This window comes from Homo sapiens, chromosome 4 (genome assembly GCF_000001405.40).
Source record: "Homo sapiens chromosome 4, GRCh38.p14 Primary Assembly".
Lineage (NCBI taxonomy): Eukaryota > Metazoa > Chordata > Mammalia > Primates > Hominidae > Homo > Homo sapiens.
This window is the reverse complement of record NC_000004.12, coordinates 86085056-86101591: the sequence shown is the minus strand read 5'-3', so window position 1 is coordinate 86101591 and position 16536 is coordinate 86085056. Positions and strand designations below refer to the sequence as shown.

Here is a 16536-nt window from a genome sequence, read left to right as displayed (position 1 = left end):
TTTCTGGCAGCATAAAGACAGCTTCCCTGATCTGTTCTTCTGTCAGGCCTAGAAATGATATATATGTTGAAAGATTTATGTTGTCCTAAGGAGAAACCTAACAGAAGACAATAAATATTTTTTTTTCTAAAACCTCTTCCCAAGATTAGTGTAAATTGTGAAAATGATAATACAATTCTTTTCTGGGATTAAAACACTTTCCAAAAACTAATAGTTAACTTATTTGTAGCAGTAATCATTTGCCTTATTTAGAGCTCTGTAGGCAAGGGGGACCTCATCAGTGCTACTGCAAAATGGCTATGTTGATTGAGTCAATGGAAATAACATTTCACTTGATACTGGCTTTTAATTTTTTCCCTTATCCTTACTGTTAGGATTTAAAACCAAGTAACATTGTAGTCAAGTCTGATTGCACATTGAAAATCCTGGACTTTGGACTGGCCAGGACAGCAGGCACAAGCTTCATGATGACTCCATATGTGGTGACACGTTATTACAGAGCCCCTGAGGTCATCCTGGGGATGGGCTACAAGGAGAACGGTAGGGATGCTTCGGGAGAGCAGCATCAAAACCATGAATGAAACGGGTGCACGTTGTAGATAGCCAAGGGGAATGTTCTCTTTTATGTACATGCTTTTATAAAGTAGGGCTGCCAGATAGCATATTCAGGGTTTTTTTTAATACTACTGGTAAGAAACACTCATTAAAAATGTGAAGGATGTTATTGAGAAGTCAGTTTTGCTAGAAGAGCACTAAATGTTAATAGTGAAAAAGAATTGTAAATGGAGTCTGATTAAACAGTCAAGCGGATGCTGATTAGCACACGTGCCTAGATATTGAGAAAAATTGCTATTTGGGTTGCAGCTCAGCTGAGCATGAGTGTGAAAGCAGAAAGGAATCTACCACAGTTAGCCATGTGGCTTTTATGTTGTATCTCAGACTGATGGCTGTAGTTCTAGAAAAAGACAAGCAAAAAAGTGACACAAATCCTTAGAGTGAAAATCTTCATAGACAACTTTGAAATAATCCAAATTATTTAAACTGAATAAGAATTTCTGTAATAATTTAAGCTGCTCTGTAAGAAACATTTAGAGTAGCAATTGCCTAATAAATCCTTATATATTCCAAAAATCGTAAAAAAGGAAAATGTCAAATTTGACACTACTGCTTTCATAAAGAAAACTTAATGTTCATGAACACTTTAAAATGAAGGCTATGGAAGGAATCTTAAAAATGTATCACAATTGAGTGTAGTTGATTAAAACTAAGGATTTATTAAATATGTTAGAAAGCATTGCAATGTATTATTTTGATGAGACTATATCTTACAAGTAATGCACCATATTGAAAACATATTCAATATACTTAGGAATTAAAATAGTTTTAAATTAGGATTGTATATGTATTCAGTGTATCTTTAATATTTATTTTTATATTCTATTCTATTTAGTTTTTAGCAGTCTGTATTAATAAGTTTTATAAAAATAATCAGTGTATTTTTATGTACAGGTGCTACAGGGTACTTTTGTGAAAATTCCCTGGCCACTGAAGTTTACAGAAACTTCTTTGTATACTCTTAGATTAGAAGACAGATAATGTATGTATGCATTTATACAGAGGAAGTTAAAAAGTCACCTCTTACAAAGGTCAGGTTCACCCTGGTGGGCAATATCGGAGTTCTGGTACCTTTTGACTCAGAAGAGATGAATCTAGCCCTCCTTGCTAGGCAATACCACATCTAATTTATTCAGAAAAGAAGACATTTTTATACTTTCTTCACGAGTTATTTTTAAAAAGTCAAAGGAGAAACAAAGTCAAGAATCAAGAATGTACAGGAGACTGGGGGGTGGGGCGGTCTGAATTTGCCTATTTGGGCTTTCAGATCTTGGCACTACCAATAGCTGGTATTAAAATCCCTTTCCCTTCCCTCACTAGAAGGAATTGCAAGTTGCTGCCTTAGGTTTTTGACTTCTCTAAGTCCATGGAGGAGGCCTGCCTAGCACCCTGGTGCTGCCCTCCCACCAATGGGAGGAAGGTTATCATGCAGAAAAACCTGCTTGCTCCCACATCAGGCATGCCCTGCTGTCCCCTGCACCTAGCCCCGCCTTCCTTCCCCATGGAACAATTCGGCCAAATGATTCTGCCCAAAAGTTCCCTTTGTCCATAATGAAAAGCAAGTTGGAAAGGGGTAAAGATTGGTAAGAGAAGGCAAAGCATGTTTTCCTAACAAGTTTGACAATTTGGAAATAAATATATGTACATAACAATTTTTAACACCTTTAATACTTTTTTCACTTTCCTTCCAGATGACTCCTTTATACATGTGCTAATTCATCATATGTCTTTTTTCTTGAAATATTTCAAATGGAAACTAAAACTGATGTTTATTTACAAGAATAAACTTCTGAAGGAAAAGCTAAGTCCCAAATACCAGGAATTCCAATTCTTTTGCCTCTAAACCATGGTTCCAGTCATTTCCTGGTTTATTGGATTTGGTTGAATTTATCTTGTTTTGCCCCGGCCCCCTGGCCCCCTGAAAAAAAAGGTGGTCTCTTGTTGCCCTATTCTCTGTAACTGAATAGAATAGAAAATGAAAATAGCCAACTCTACAAGTTAATATTGTTTTCTATGCATCCGGAAAATGACACAGAAAACCCTTTGGTGGCTTTTAGCTGTCACCTGCCATGGAGATACTTTTGGTTTAGCTATTGCTTTTCTCAGTCACCAATGTCACCACTTTGTGGCACTGCTGAGAGGCAATGTAAGGCACCCACAAAGTAATGGGTTTTTAAACATTAATTTGAGTTCTCATACTAAACACTGTTTATGTAATAGCATAGCGCTGGTTTGAATTCACATTTTGGCCAACTTTTGGTGGGAGGTGAAAATTGTACTTTTAATCAAACTGTTCTTTTTCCTCCTCCTTCAGAAGTCAATTATCTTAGTTAACTTTACTTTCCTCCCTTTTCTTCACTACCCTCTCTCTCCTGTTCTAGTGGATATATGGTCTGTGGGATGCATTATGGGAGAAATGGTTCGCCACAAAATCCTCTTTCCAGGAAGGGACTGTATCCTTGTACCTTTTGCTACAGCTTTACCTGTTTTGTTCTCTCTCCCTTTTAAACACATAATGATTTTACCAGGAGAGTAAAGATAGAAGCAAAAAGTTGGGTAAGTGGTGTTATTGTAATAAAAAAGTGATAATTTCTATAATCTGACCAGTACTGAAGACTGCCTACCACAATGATTTCTTTTAATTAAATTTCAATGGGCTTTTTTCTTCTAAAATTACTTTCTTGCCTGCAACTAAAAATAGAAATGCTATTTTTCTTTAATAACAAAGGCTACCAGATCCCAAATGATTAAAATATATTTACCTTTATAACTAGCAAAATAAGTCACTATTTGCAAGTCATTTTCCATCTCCTTTCTAAAACTATTTTGTGCTTCTACAATATTTAGGCATAATAATTGCTCTCCTTGCTGACATTCTAAGCTTCTGTCTATGGCTTTGTTGATTTAAATTACTCGACACTAAATCAAGTCTTTAACAGGTCAATATAGCATATCTTCCTCAAAACATGAACTTCTGCATTTAAAAATTGTAATTATTGTTCAAGTTGCTAGTGGTCAGGTGAGTTTAATGTAGACTTCTCTCACCTGACTTGGAGATGTGACATAGACATACATGCTTGTTTTCCCAACTAAATTTATAATTTCATAAAGCAATTTGGATTTAAGTTCTACTACTGAGTCCTGCAATAGAGTCCATCAGAAATTTCTTGTAGAGCTATCTATGATTTGGAATTATCAAATGAACTGATACATTTCTTAAATGGCCAAAAATTCACTCTCTAGTAAAGGTACAGATTTGTGTTTGTAATATATAGACAATAAAGTTTACATATAATAGTATAATATACTTTTAAAAATACAAAAATACCTTACTACAAATACTAGTGCAAATCTAAGTACAATCACCATTGACAACTTTAACAATTATAATACAGGATTGAATTTAGTATATTTATTACATATGGATGTTTTGGAAATTGGCAATAACCATGTGACCCATAACTCTATTAACCATTCTATTTGATTGATAAGAAAGTTTTATTAAGGAATCCTTCTATTATGTAAGAAAGGTTATGATTTTTATTGAGGTGTTTAAAAAGTCCAATAGTAAAAAACAAAAACAAAAAAACCTGACTCAACAAGAAGTGGGTACCATAATAAGCTTGTATTTAGGTAGGTATGTATTCATTCTGCTGGATATTAATGAGATAGTCTCTAAAATCCACTAGTAATGTAAGAGTGATGACATATTCTAGAACTGCACTGTCTAGTAGGTAGCCACTAGCCACATGTGGTTATTCAGCACTTGAAATTATAGTCTAAATTGAAATGTGTTTTATGTGTAAAATGCATACCAGATTTTGAAGATATTTTTAAAAGCATGTAAAATATATTACTAATAATCTTATATAGCTTGTGTTAAGGTGATAGCATTATGAATATATTGGGTTAAATATATATATCTTTTTTTATTCTTTTGAATGTGGACATTAAACTTAAAACTACGTATATGATTGGCATTTGTGACTGTCATTTTTCTATTGGACAGTGCTGGTCTAGAAGATAAGAAAACCACATGGCAACCATTTATTTATAACCAATCTTAAGGTCTTGAATCTCTGTTTGCTCCATGTTCCTTTCCTATCTATAGTGTGAAGTATCATTTTCACCATTAGATTTCATATGGCTACTTAGGAAAATTTATTTCACTTTACTTATCTATAGTTTGGGGATTAATTATATACCTAATATAGTTTATTTGAACAATATTATAGTGCACATTCATATTTAAATGTGCTGACTTTATTCAAAAGTAGGAATTATTTTCTTTATGCTTTTGCCTTTGGTATATAACACATTTTAGACAAAAAAGGAACCTCTCAATCAATACTCAGAGTGAAGTTGCACAGCCACATCTCTCTCATGCACTTGTCAGTGGAAAGCAAAAAGCCACAGGATTTCTCATTTCCATGTGACATTTTGTTACATGTCACTTGATTTCATGTAGCGAGGTTGTTCTCTGAGATCTTATTTAGCTCTTCAGGCATTTATGCGGATTGCTTTTCTTCTATTTTGACAATATTAAATTTAAAAGCCAATAAAAGAGAAAAAAAGCAAAAAGTTTTAAACTCAATCTAACCCTTCAGAAAAACAAACAAAAAAACAAAGCACCATATTGATAATTTTATTTTCTTTTAAAAATTTTTCTCTTGGAGGTGCCCCTCCCACCTTTTTTAATCCTAGTTTGTTTTAGAAAAATTTTTGGAGCTGAAATTAAATTGTGTGAAAATTAATACATAACATTTATATCCTTGATATGTATGAACCTAGACATTTAAATAATCTCTAATACAGATAATGTAGATTATAATAAAGGTTTGCATTTATTATATAAATATATATATTTCTTTATCTCAAGTGATGATTACATAGTACAGCAGTCTTTGATAGCCTAGTGCCATATGTGATAATGACCCTGCATGTGGACCTAAAAGTTAAAAAAAATTGCATAAAGACACCTACAATGGAAAGCCTTTTACTTAAGTTAAATTTTACCAAAAAATGAGTAGATATTTTCCAATGAAATAGGTTAGAAAAAATGTTTCCTTTTTGAAAATGTTTCCATTTGGATTTCTTAGCCCCTTTTACCTATAATTAAAATTATAACTTAATGTTTAAAGTTATAGTTACATTTAAAAAATAAACCTATAGAAATCTCAGTTAAACAATGTGCTTTGTTAATTTTGAGTAGAATTGTTTTATTAATCTTTAAATGAAATTATTATCATTTTATGCACAGGACTTCCTACCAACAACTGAGCAGTCAGATAACCTCTCAAACTATGACTATCAGACACAAGGCTGAGGGCTGATTCAAGTTATTTATCGGCAGAAGAATTACACAATTTTAAGCATATTGAAATTAGTCTAACATTTATTGGAAGAAATATCAAAGCTAAGTATATGCTAATTGATACCTTGACTACTTCCAGGACTCTGCAGAAATTTCAAAAAACAATCAGAGGTTCTCATGTCTTTCACCTAGAATTATTCAGAGTAATTTATATTAAATTACTTTGAGGCTGAAAAATGATGTGATAATACTATCATAATAATCAACATTTTTCTTCTCTCTTCACAGAACTTTTAAACTTGAACCCTAAGCAAAAATAGTAAAATGTCTTGACAAATCAGAGAATCTTATGAAATTGTCATTGATGACTGAAGTTTAACTACTTTCCCACATTCAAACTATCTTTGCATTTTGAGAAACATCGTGGGGGTTTCTTGGTGGTTGATATGATCTAGATGATATCACAGGGAATTGTCTTGGTTACTGAATTAGAATGTTGGCAAAATAAAATTGAACAAAATAAACAATACATATTTGCTTTTCCACTTATTAATTTGCTAATTACTTTAATATCCAGAGGATCACTTCTTAATACTTATTTTTCTTGTGTAAAGTGTTTCTTAATTATGCATACACTATCATACACTTAATTTTCACTATAGTTTTATGATTAAAACATTTCATAGCATATATTTTTACATAATGTAGTTTATTTGAACATTATAATGCACATTCATATTTAAATATGTTACTAAACATTCTTTAAACATTCTTAAACGCATGCTGACTTTCAAGTTAGAGAGTAGTAAATAGGCCAAGTCCATTATTTTTTTTTATGTAGTCCAAAGAACAGATAAAAGAAATCAGTGACTTTAGCTTCACTCAGATTTTGTTCCTTTCAATAAAATTTACAGGAAAGCAGCTTTACAATGCTTCCTTAGAAGTTTTTTCTAAGAACTATCCAGTCATTCACTGCCTCCACCACCCCAAACCCCAACCAGGACATGCCATCTTGTTGATTATCAAAGACTCCTATAGTCCCAGTATAATTTTCATGAGTCCTTTCCTCAAACCTGCTTCTTTTAGATACATTCTTCAACCTTATTTTTTCCATTCTACTTCAAATGATAGCACCTTCTTTGAGCAAACCCTGTGATGTCCCTTTATCTAAGTTCTTGGCCAATATTCTCTGGATATAAAGTTAAAGACAGGCATACTGCATGCATTTGAAAATTCTGGACCTCAAGTATATTATATCCAAAGCTAACAGCTGGACTGCTAAAATAGCTCCTCTTGCCTTTCCCTCTGAAGAACAGGAAATTGCAGTTAGAATGAAAGAGATATACATATAACCTTGCCAAGGAGCCAAGTTATTAAGGAATAGGTAAATGGTTTTCCAAAAGTATATTTGAAGAAATAAGAAAAACACCCTCAAATTAACTGAATGCTGTATCTTTTTAAAGTTTGAATATGAACATTAGGAAGGATCAAAGTAAAATGAACAAAAATTTGTGGTTACAGATTGTTATATCAATCTAGCACAGAGATATTTTAAAATTCTTCTTACCTCTTTGAAATAATAGTGCTTAATTCCTAATAAACTTTTGCAACTAACAACTTACTATATAGTCTAACTCTTTTTCTTAGAATTAAGACAATACAGAGTTATTTCAAACAATATAAAATTTATGGTTTTAAATAAAGTTAGGATGAAACAATTTAGTAGGCATTCTTTCAAATCTATAAGCAAATTGCATGTAATTATAAATAAATATTTAAAAATAAAATTATTATTTGAATTTGTTTAAAAGAATACATTTTTACCACTAGTGTGCCTGCTAACTCTTCTCTTTTGTTATTATTTTATGAAAATGTGAGGCAGGGTTCACCAGAATGGGAGCTGGAGATTCTGAGGTTGTAAAGAAATAAAAGCAAGTTTAATAGGTAGATTCAAGGAGAAAGTCTTTTTCTGATTTCCTGGCATTACAATATTTAGCATTAAGTTCTGCGAATTGTTGCTTATTTTTCTTACTTAGATTCACATGTGCAAAATATGTACATTCTTAGTTTATTTATGTATATCAGTGGTCTTTTAGAATTCTGTCTTTGAACTGAAGTTTAGTACAAGGTCCTTTTGTTAAACAACTAAATTTATGACTTAGTTAACTAATTTTAAAAGAAATGTTCTAATTTTATAACTGCTAACTTTATAACTTATAATTTTTATAAAAATTATAACAAATAATTTTCAAAGAAATGTTCTGATTTTAGAAAACTATATTAAATCTTCTTGCTATTGTGTGTTGAGTCATTCATTGAGAGAAAATTTGTCTAAATTCTACACTAAATGAAAATATACTTAGGTGTGTTAAGGAGAAGTCTCAGAAATTGTGATAAAAGAGTTACGTAATCCCCCAGAGAGGAAACATTTTCCAGGATAGAAGCTCACATAGTCTCAAAATTATTTAATTGTGGATCATAATTTAAGCTATTAGATGGAGTGTGGAAGTAGCAATATAGTTCTTTATTTATTTAGATTTAACTTCCAGGGCTTACATTGTATAATTTCTATCTCTTGGTTAGAAGTAGAAGAAAGATAATTTATTATAAGCTAATTTCTGACAAATAATGTGACATGAGATTTTCAGAGGTTCTCACTCTGAAAATTAATCATATTTTGGTAACACCAAAATTTACTCAACATTTCTTCTAAGGAAAGTGACTCAGCATCTGATTGTTACAGTTGCAAGTGAATCTGCCTTCTGCCTATGGGAATGATAGAATGATGATGAAAGAATGTGATGAATCAGAATTTTAAAAGCCAACAGAATTCTACCTTGGCAGCATTAGTGTACAGAACTCTTACAGAGACCCAGATGCTGTATCAGATTGTTTCAGAAAGCATAAAATGCAGTTTCCAACAGTGATTGAATTTGCTAATTACTTCTAAGGTCTATGCACAGTCCCTATTCATTGTAATACCTGACAATTTCATAAAATAATCTATTCTTAACTTCATTAGCAATATATATATATATATATCACTAATATATTCAGATACATATTGTATTAGTATGTTTATGTATCCTAATATAGAGATATTAGTAGAGGGAAGGCTTACTACTACTACCTTCCTGTTCAATAAGAGTTGGTATCAAATTCTTTTATTATACATTTTCTGTTAGTGGAGATGGCAAATTCATGAAGTTTGGTACAATGAGTTTATCTTGAGCCATAATCCTGTCTTGAATACATAAAAATCTATATAAATTTATGTGCATATATTCAATTTTTGTAATTCAAGATAACAGAGCTTATCATTTCTAGGCACAAGGCTTAGCATTTTGGTAGCATAGATATAAATATTCTCTAGGAATAGTGAATGGTGAGTAAAGTTAAAATGGGAATTAGAAAGATTTCCAGGATATTATCACCCATAAAGATATATTAAAATAAAGAAAATGAAATTCAATATGTACATCAGAATTTCAGATCTAGAGCCTACATCTCTGCATTATTTTTATGCAAAAGATTTGTGATCTATTAAATCTATTTTGAGTTCTGCCCATGAAGATATATATTTTAAATAAATATTCTTCTTTTACATTGGAGTATCTCCCAGATCCCCCACACCAAAAAGAGAACTGTGAGATATACCAGTTATTAATACCAGTTATTAAATCAACAACTGGGCCAGGCATGGTGTCTCATGCCTGTAATCCCAGCACTTTGGGAGGCCGAGGTGGGCAGATCACAAGGTCAGGAGATCAAGACCATCCTGGCCAACATGGTGAAACCCCACCTCTACTAAAAATACAAAAATTAGCTGGGCGTGGTGGCGTGTGCCTGTAATCTCAGCTACTAGGGAGGCTGATGCAAGAGAATCACTTGAACCCAGGGGGCAGAGGTTGCAGTGAGCCAAGATCGTGCCACTGCAATCCAGTCTAGTGACAGAGCTAGACACTGGCTCAAAGAAAAAAAAAAATTAACAACTGTATAGAACCAACTGGTGCTAAAGCAACATAGAGACCAGAATTTAATTTAGGCCATCTGTTGTTATTGTTGTTGCTGTTGTTTAAAGGCATGTGAAGAACAGCAAAAAAAAAAAAAAAAAAAAAAAAAAAAATCAAGGGATTTTAGCCTGAAAGATAAAATTGGCCAGTTTTAGGAGAGGAATGGTTAGGGATTACAGGTTATAGTTACATACTTTAAGGTTCTTATTTGGATGAGGAAACACAGTAGTTCCTGTTTACATAGTGAAGAGAAGTTCCATAGAGTCAATGTGAGTCAATATGTAGGATGCCTTTCTAAGTGGTTTCAACAATAAAATAGATTGCCTAGTGAGTGGTGAGATTCCTCCACTGGAAAGATTTCTTTATTATAGATGTAAATATATAATATAATTATGTAAATTTAAAATAAATAAACCTTTTCCAAAGATATTTAATTCCCAAATATAATTTTAATATATTATTTAATACATGATGATTTGATATGTAAATAATATTTATTGGGGACTTGCTATGTACCAGGCAGTTGTGCAAGGATCTTTATCAGACATAACTTTTTCAAGTCTTTTATAAAACTCTACATAATAAATACAGCTTATCATCAATATTTTAGGGGATAAAATTGAGGTTTAGAGAGAAGTAACCTGGCCAAGGTCACATAGTTGGAAAGTAATAGAATTGGTTCTCTAGCAGAAAAAGATGAATATATTGCCAGAGATATTGTAAAAAACAATTTTATACTAAATGAGAAATAGAAATAGATGTTTCCTAAGTCCCAGACAGGTTAATGGCAGAAACCATTTTTTTTCTAAACATTTGAATGGAGACAGGCAAGAGAAAACACTGCATATTGAGATTTTTGGTCTCAATGTTTTTTGTATATCTCTTCCACAATATCTATAAAATATAGATAATCCATAAATAGCAATTTAGTCAAACTGGTCTCTTTGGACAGTATGATAGGAATACTTGGAATTTAAAAATAAATATGTTTTCCGTTTTTTTCTTTAATCAAAGATTTCTCAATACCATCCTGTTGTGAGACAGATATTACTTGAAATTACAAACACGTTAATAATAAAGGGATGCACAACTGTTTGCTCTATCTTTCCCTGATATTTCTGCATGTCAGTTGCTTTCCTAAACTGGAAGCAAAACAAATTTGCTTCTTTGGGTATGCTTATCACCTTCAAAGCCGTAACCGTTTCTTTGCAGTGATCACTTTGTTTAGGTGTTAAATCAAACAATGGAAACTTTGAGTTTAACCCGAGTGAGATTTTCACATTGGAATGAATCTCATGAGGATCTCTTTAAGGTCACTGCCAAATTACAAGATGTAATTTGAAAAGTAAGTGGAGCAAAATTATATTGTGCTGCTATCTTAATGCCTTTCCCTATTTGCTCCCCCCCAGCATCCCTAATTCTTCTGTTTATTTTTCCCCCCACAAGAATGCCCTCTCTTTCTGATTTTTAAGTACAACAAGTGAGTAACCAAGTGTAGCTCAAGAGAGAGATTTCACTTTCTTGCTTCACCCTTCCCCATTTTGCCCCTCCCTCTGTGCGCTCTGCCCTGGCTTCCTGGTTTTAAGTTCTGGATGATACTTGGCAATAACAGAGAGACCATTATAATTCCACCTTGAATTCCAGGTTTCTTTTGATTCACAGTTTCAGAAGAAGTATCAGCTCTTTAGTCATGTTGTTTATTTCACATTGAGCGATCCCATTTTGAAAGCCAGCTTTTCTTATCATTATAAGGCAACTGTGTTTATAAGAATAAGACAAGGCTTCCTGCTGAGAAACATGCTCCTTTGATGAGAGTCAATGACACTAAGACAACATATTCTGAAACATTCATTCTTGAACTGGCTTTTCACTTCTGGAACTGTATTTATATTTATAAATAAGGGTAAATGTGTTTTATAAAAGAAACTCTTTTGAGGTTGCTGGCAGCTCAGCTTTTCTTTTTTCTTTTTTCAAATACGTATACAAGAGTAAAAAAGAAACTGATTTGCATATTAACACTATCTAGAATAATTTATGATAAAAATCAGTAGGATTCTAGTAAATGAATGCAAATTAGACCTTTTAAATCAAAACCTAAATTAATCATTGAGTTATAATTGCAAAGTAATATTATTCTACATTAGGTAGCATTGGGTAGTGTTGTTATTTCTGTTATATGACAGAAAAGGGCCTTGAGAGCCTATGTTCTCCCCTTTCCACCATTTAAAATGCTAATGATCATGCCACTGGCCTCTCATCCAGTCAGTGAAAAGTCAGACTATTGCTCTATGGCATGAGTAGCCCAGTGTTTTCATTTATTTGTTGTTCTATTCCTGTGTTCTTGTTTATCTTCATTTCATTTTTGTTTTCAGTTGACATGTGGTCAGTAGGGTGCATCATGGGAGAAATGATAAAAGGTGCAGTGCTGTTTCCTGGCACTGATCGTATCCTTCTTAGCAGCCAGTGGTATCTATGGGTGTCACTCTCAATTAATTCCCTTTTGTCTCAAATGCAGTACTGCTTATGGTATTTGTTCACTGTCCTTAGAGAGTTTCTATGAGACTCAATGTCAAATATTTACAAGTTGGCATTATGGCAGAGTAACTTTGTCTCCTAGTAAGACCTTATGTGGATAATACAGTAACAAATATGAAAGAGTCAACCTGATATCAAAAGGTCTGCCTTAATTCAGTTCTACCAAACTGATAACATTGAGTACTCTTCTTTCTTGTTTTTGTTGTAGATGTTTCAAAATGAAGATATATTCATAGCTAGATAATAAATAAAGTCTTTCAGTTCTAAGACTGAAGATTTATACTTTGATATAATGAGAAATATTCATTTGGCATGGAAATTTTTATCAGATTCATGTTCCTCCACAAATACTAATTGGTTTATTTTAACATATATTCAGAGAGCATGGATGTGAATTTCATTTTACAATTGATCAAGTTTTTCTAAAATTATTTTTCTTATTCACTCCATTTATGGGAATAATAGCTCTAATTCCTTCTCTTATTTTCTGCATATTATTAACAAGTGCAATAATTAAAACCTCATTAATAATGGTTATATAAAATATCTGAAGAAATACATTGAAATCACTTGAATAAGTAAAAGTGATTCTCTCTTAAGCAGCAAATAATTAACAAGTAAAGATCAAGACCAGATGTGGTAGCTCATGCCTGTAACCCCCAACACTTTGGAAGGCTGAAGTGGAAGGATCACTTGAGCCCAGGAGTTTGAGACCAGCCTAGGCAAGAGAGCAAGACCCTTGTCTCTACAAAAAACAAAAATAAAAAATTTAGCCGGGCACGGTGAAAGTCCCTGTAGTCTCAGCAACAAAGAAACTAGCTGGGAGGATAGCTTGAGCCCCCAGTGTCAAAGCTGCAGTGAGCAGTGATCGTGCTGCTGCACTGCAGCCTAGGTAGGCAACAGAGTGAGACCCTGTCTCTAAACAAACAGACAAACAAACAAAAAGATTCCAGAGGTTCTGCAGTATTAAATAGATATGAATAGTGTGCGATTAGTGATTAGTATATGGATGTGTCATGGGTCCTGTTAAATATCCCTCTACACTTAGTCACTTATGAAAGTTTTATGTCTTCATCCTACTAAAGGTAAAACCTCTGCTTTAATAAAACACTTCAAAAATAAAATTGAGCCTATAATAATGGGGTTTTAATGTGTAATTAGACTAAATCTAATTACTAATATAGTGCATCCATACCATATTATGATTAGCCATTTGCGTTGTTTCTAATATCTACATTATAATTTTTTATCAAATGTCTATAATGTAATATACACACTTGAGGATTAATATTTGTATCTGGTTTTACATATATGAATATATATATATGGCTTCATACATATATTCTCTCTACATATTAAAAGAAAAAGTTCTGGAAATGGCTGTATTAGGCACTCAATTTTTGTTGGAAGAAAGGACTTAAAATACTTCAGTTAAAAATAGTTACACTGTTTTTACTTCTGATTATTCTTACTAAAAACTTTTTTCTAATCTTCTGTTTGACACACATTTTAAAAAGTCTTTCTGTCTATAGTGCTGTTTTGTCTTCTAAATATACATTTTATTAAATGACGTCTATAATTTACCACATCAACATTAATGCTATTTGAAACTAGCTGGCTTTATAAAAACTGAATTCCTTCAGATTTCTTAAAAATCAGGAGGGATTTTAAAAAACAGGACTTCTTTTATTCCCAATGAATTATAAACTTGTGTTTGGCCTTTGGGCATGAATATGAAATTGTCTTTAAGTTTTGGCTGATTTTAGATAATTTGATGAAAATAGACTCAATTTGTTAACTTAGTACTCTTTGCTTTTCCAGAAGTTCATTGTGGTTGAATAATTGGTGACTAAAATGAATATTTGCCACCTGTAAATTAAAATGAGTGTTTTTATGATCTTTGTTATGTTTCTATTAAGAAAAATTAAAACAGATTTCTACAACTGAATTACCAAATACAATTTAACATTTTTTAGAATAGTTTCTTGGGAAAAGTTGCTCGTGTGTCATTTTTTAACTTGGGTGTCAAAATTCCTTGTAAACAATGCTTTAGGGCTCGGGTAATGTGGCAGTATCCTGTTCAAAGCCCTTGATATTTGGATATGAAGTCCTTTATGGAGCTCTTGTATGGGGACATATTTGTAAATTTCTTGGAGGACAAATAGGAATCATTTTCTAAAGTATGTCTTCTGATCGTGGGCTGTGGTCTCAATGATTTCAAACATGTTGGTTAAAGTTTTAAATCAGTCTTAAAGCAAACAAATTTTGAACACTGAATATCAAATAATTAACCTCTTAATGTATAAGACATTACTGATTTAAAAAATTCTGTTATTAGAAATGAGTTACTGAAAATACAATAAAATTATACCTAAATCTATTAAATAGAGACATTAAAATAGAGCTGGAGATATGCCATATTATAATGTATACCTATATAGTACATTATAAGGAGTTATGTTATTTTTAGTCAATATATCCTCATTTATATAAAAGCATTCTCAAAACAATGATTTCTAAAAGCTCTTGGAATATGAGCTATGCATGACTTTTTTTAATTTTTAATTTTTCTGGGTACATAATAGCTGTGTATATTTATGGGGCACATGAGATGTTTTGATACAGGCATGCAATGCATAATAATCACATCATGGAAGATGGAATATCCACTCCCTCAAGTATTTATCCTTTGTGTTACAAACAATTCAATTATACTCTTTTAGTTATTTTAAAATGTACAATTAAATTATTATTTACTGTAGTCACCCTGTTGTGCTACCAAATACTAGATCTTATTAATTCTTTCTAACTTTTTATTTTAGCCGTTAACCATCCCCACCCACCACCTCCTCTGCTATCCTTTCCAGCCTCTGGTAACCATCCTTCTACTGTCTATCTCGATGAGTTCAATTGTTTTGATTTTTTAAATTAATTTTAATTTTAAGTTCCAGGGTACATGTGCAGGATATGCAGGTTTGTTACACAGGTAAACGTGTACCGTGGTGGTTTGCTGCACCTATCCACCCATTACCTAGGTATTAAGCCCAGCATGCATTAGCTAGTTTTCCTAATGCTCTCCCTCCACCCACCCAGCTCCCCTGACAGGCCCCAGTGTGTATTATTCCCCTCCCTGTGTCCATGTGTTCTCATTGTTCATCTCCCACTTGTAAATGAGAACATGCAGTGTTTGTCTTTCTGTGCCTCGCTTATTTCACTTAACATTTTTAAATGTACCACATTTTCTTTATCCATTCATCTGTTGATGGATGCTTAGGTTGCTTCCAAATCTTGGCTATCGTCAACAGTGCTGCAACAAACACGGCAGTGCAGATATCTCTTCGATATACTGATTTCCTTTCTTTTGTTTATATACCCAGCAGTGGGATTGCCAGATCATATGGTAGCTCTATTTTTAGTTTTTTGAGGAACCACAGAACTGTTCTCCTAGTTATTATGATAATTTACACTTCCAGGAATGTGCAAGTGTTCCCTTTTCTCCACATCTTCACCAGCATTTGTTGTTGCCTGTTTTTGGATATAAGCTCTTTTAACCGGGGTGAGATGATATCTCATTGTAGTTTTGATTTGCATTTCTCTGATGATCAGTGATGTTGAGCACTTTTTCATATGCCTGTTTGTTATTTGCATATCTTCTTCTGAGAGATGTCTATTTAAATCTTTTGCCCATTTTTAATCGGATTATTAGATTTTTTTCCTATAGAGTTGTTTGAGCTCCTTATATATTCTGGTTATTAATTCCTTGTCAGATGAGTAGTTTGCAAATATTTTCTCTCATTCTGTAGGTTGTCTCTTCACTTTGTTGATTGTTTTCTTTGCTGTGCAGAAGTTTTTAGCTTGATATGATCCCATTTGTCCATTTTTACTTTGGTTGCTTGTGTTTGGGAGGTATTACTCAATAAATTTTTGCCCTGACCACTGTCCTAGAAAATTTCCCCAGTGATTTCTTAAAGAAGATTGATAATTTGAAGCCTTATATTTATGTCTTTAATTCATCTTGATTGGATCTTTGTATATGGTGAGAGATAGGGATCTAGTTTT

General features: G+C 32.6%; 1 protein-coding gene across 14 annotated transcripts in view; it reads left to right on the top strand.

Annotated features, from left to right (window-relative positions):
• Positions 1-16536, top strand: part of MAPK10 (mitogen-activated protein kinase 10) — a 583670-nt gene that overhangs the window by 492483 nt on the left and 74651 nt on the right. For 7 of the 14 annotated variants that reach the window (XM_047415964.1, NM_002753.6, NM_138982.4 and 4 more), the window contains 2 exons: positions 375-540; positions 2997-3068. In XM_047415964.1, coding sequence (XP_047271920.1) covers positions 375-540; positions 2997-3068 — 238 coding nt within the window. The other 7 variants (NM_001363657.3, NM_001318068.1, NM_001318067.1 and 4 more) reach the window with 5 other exon arrangements.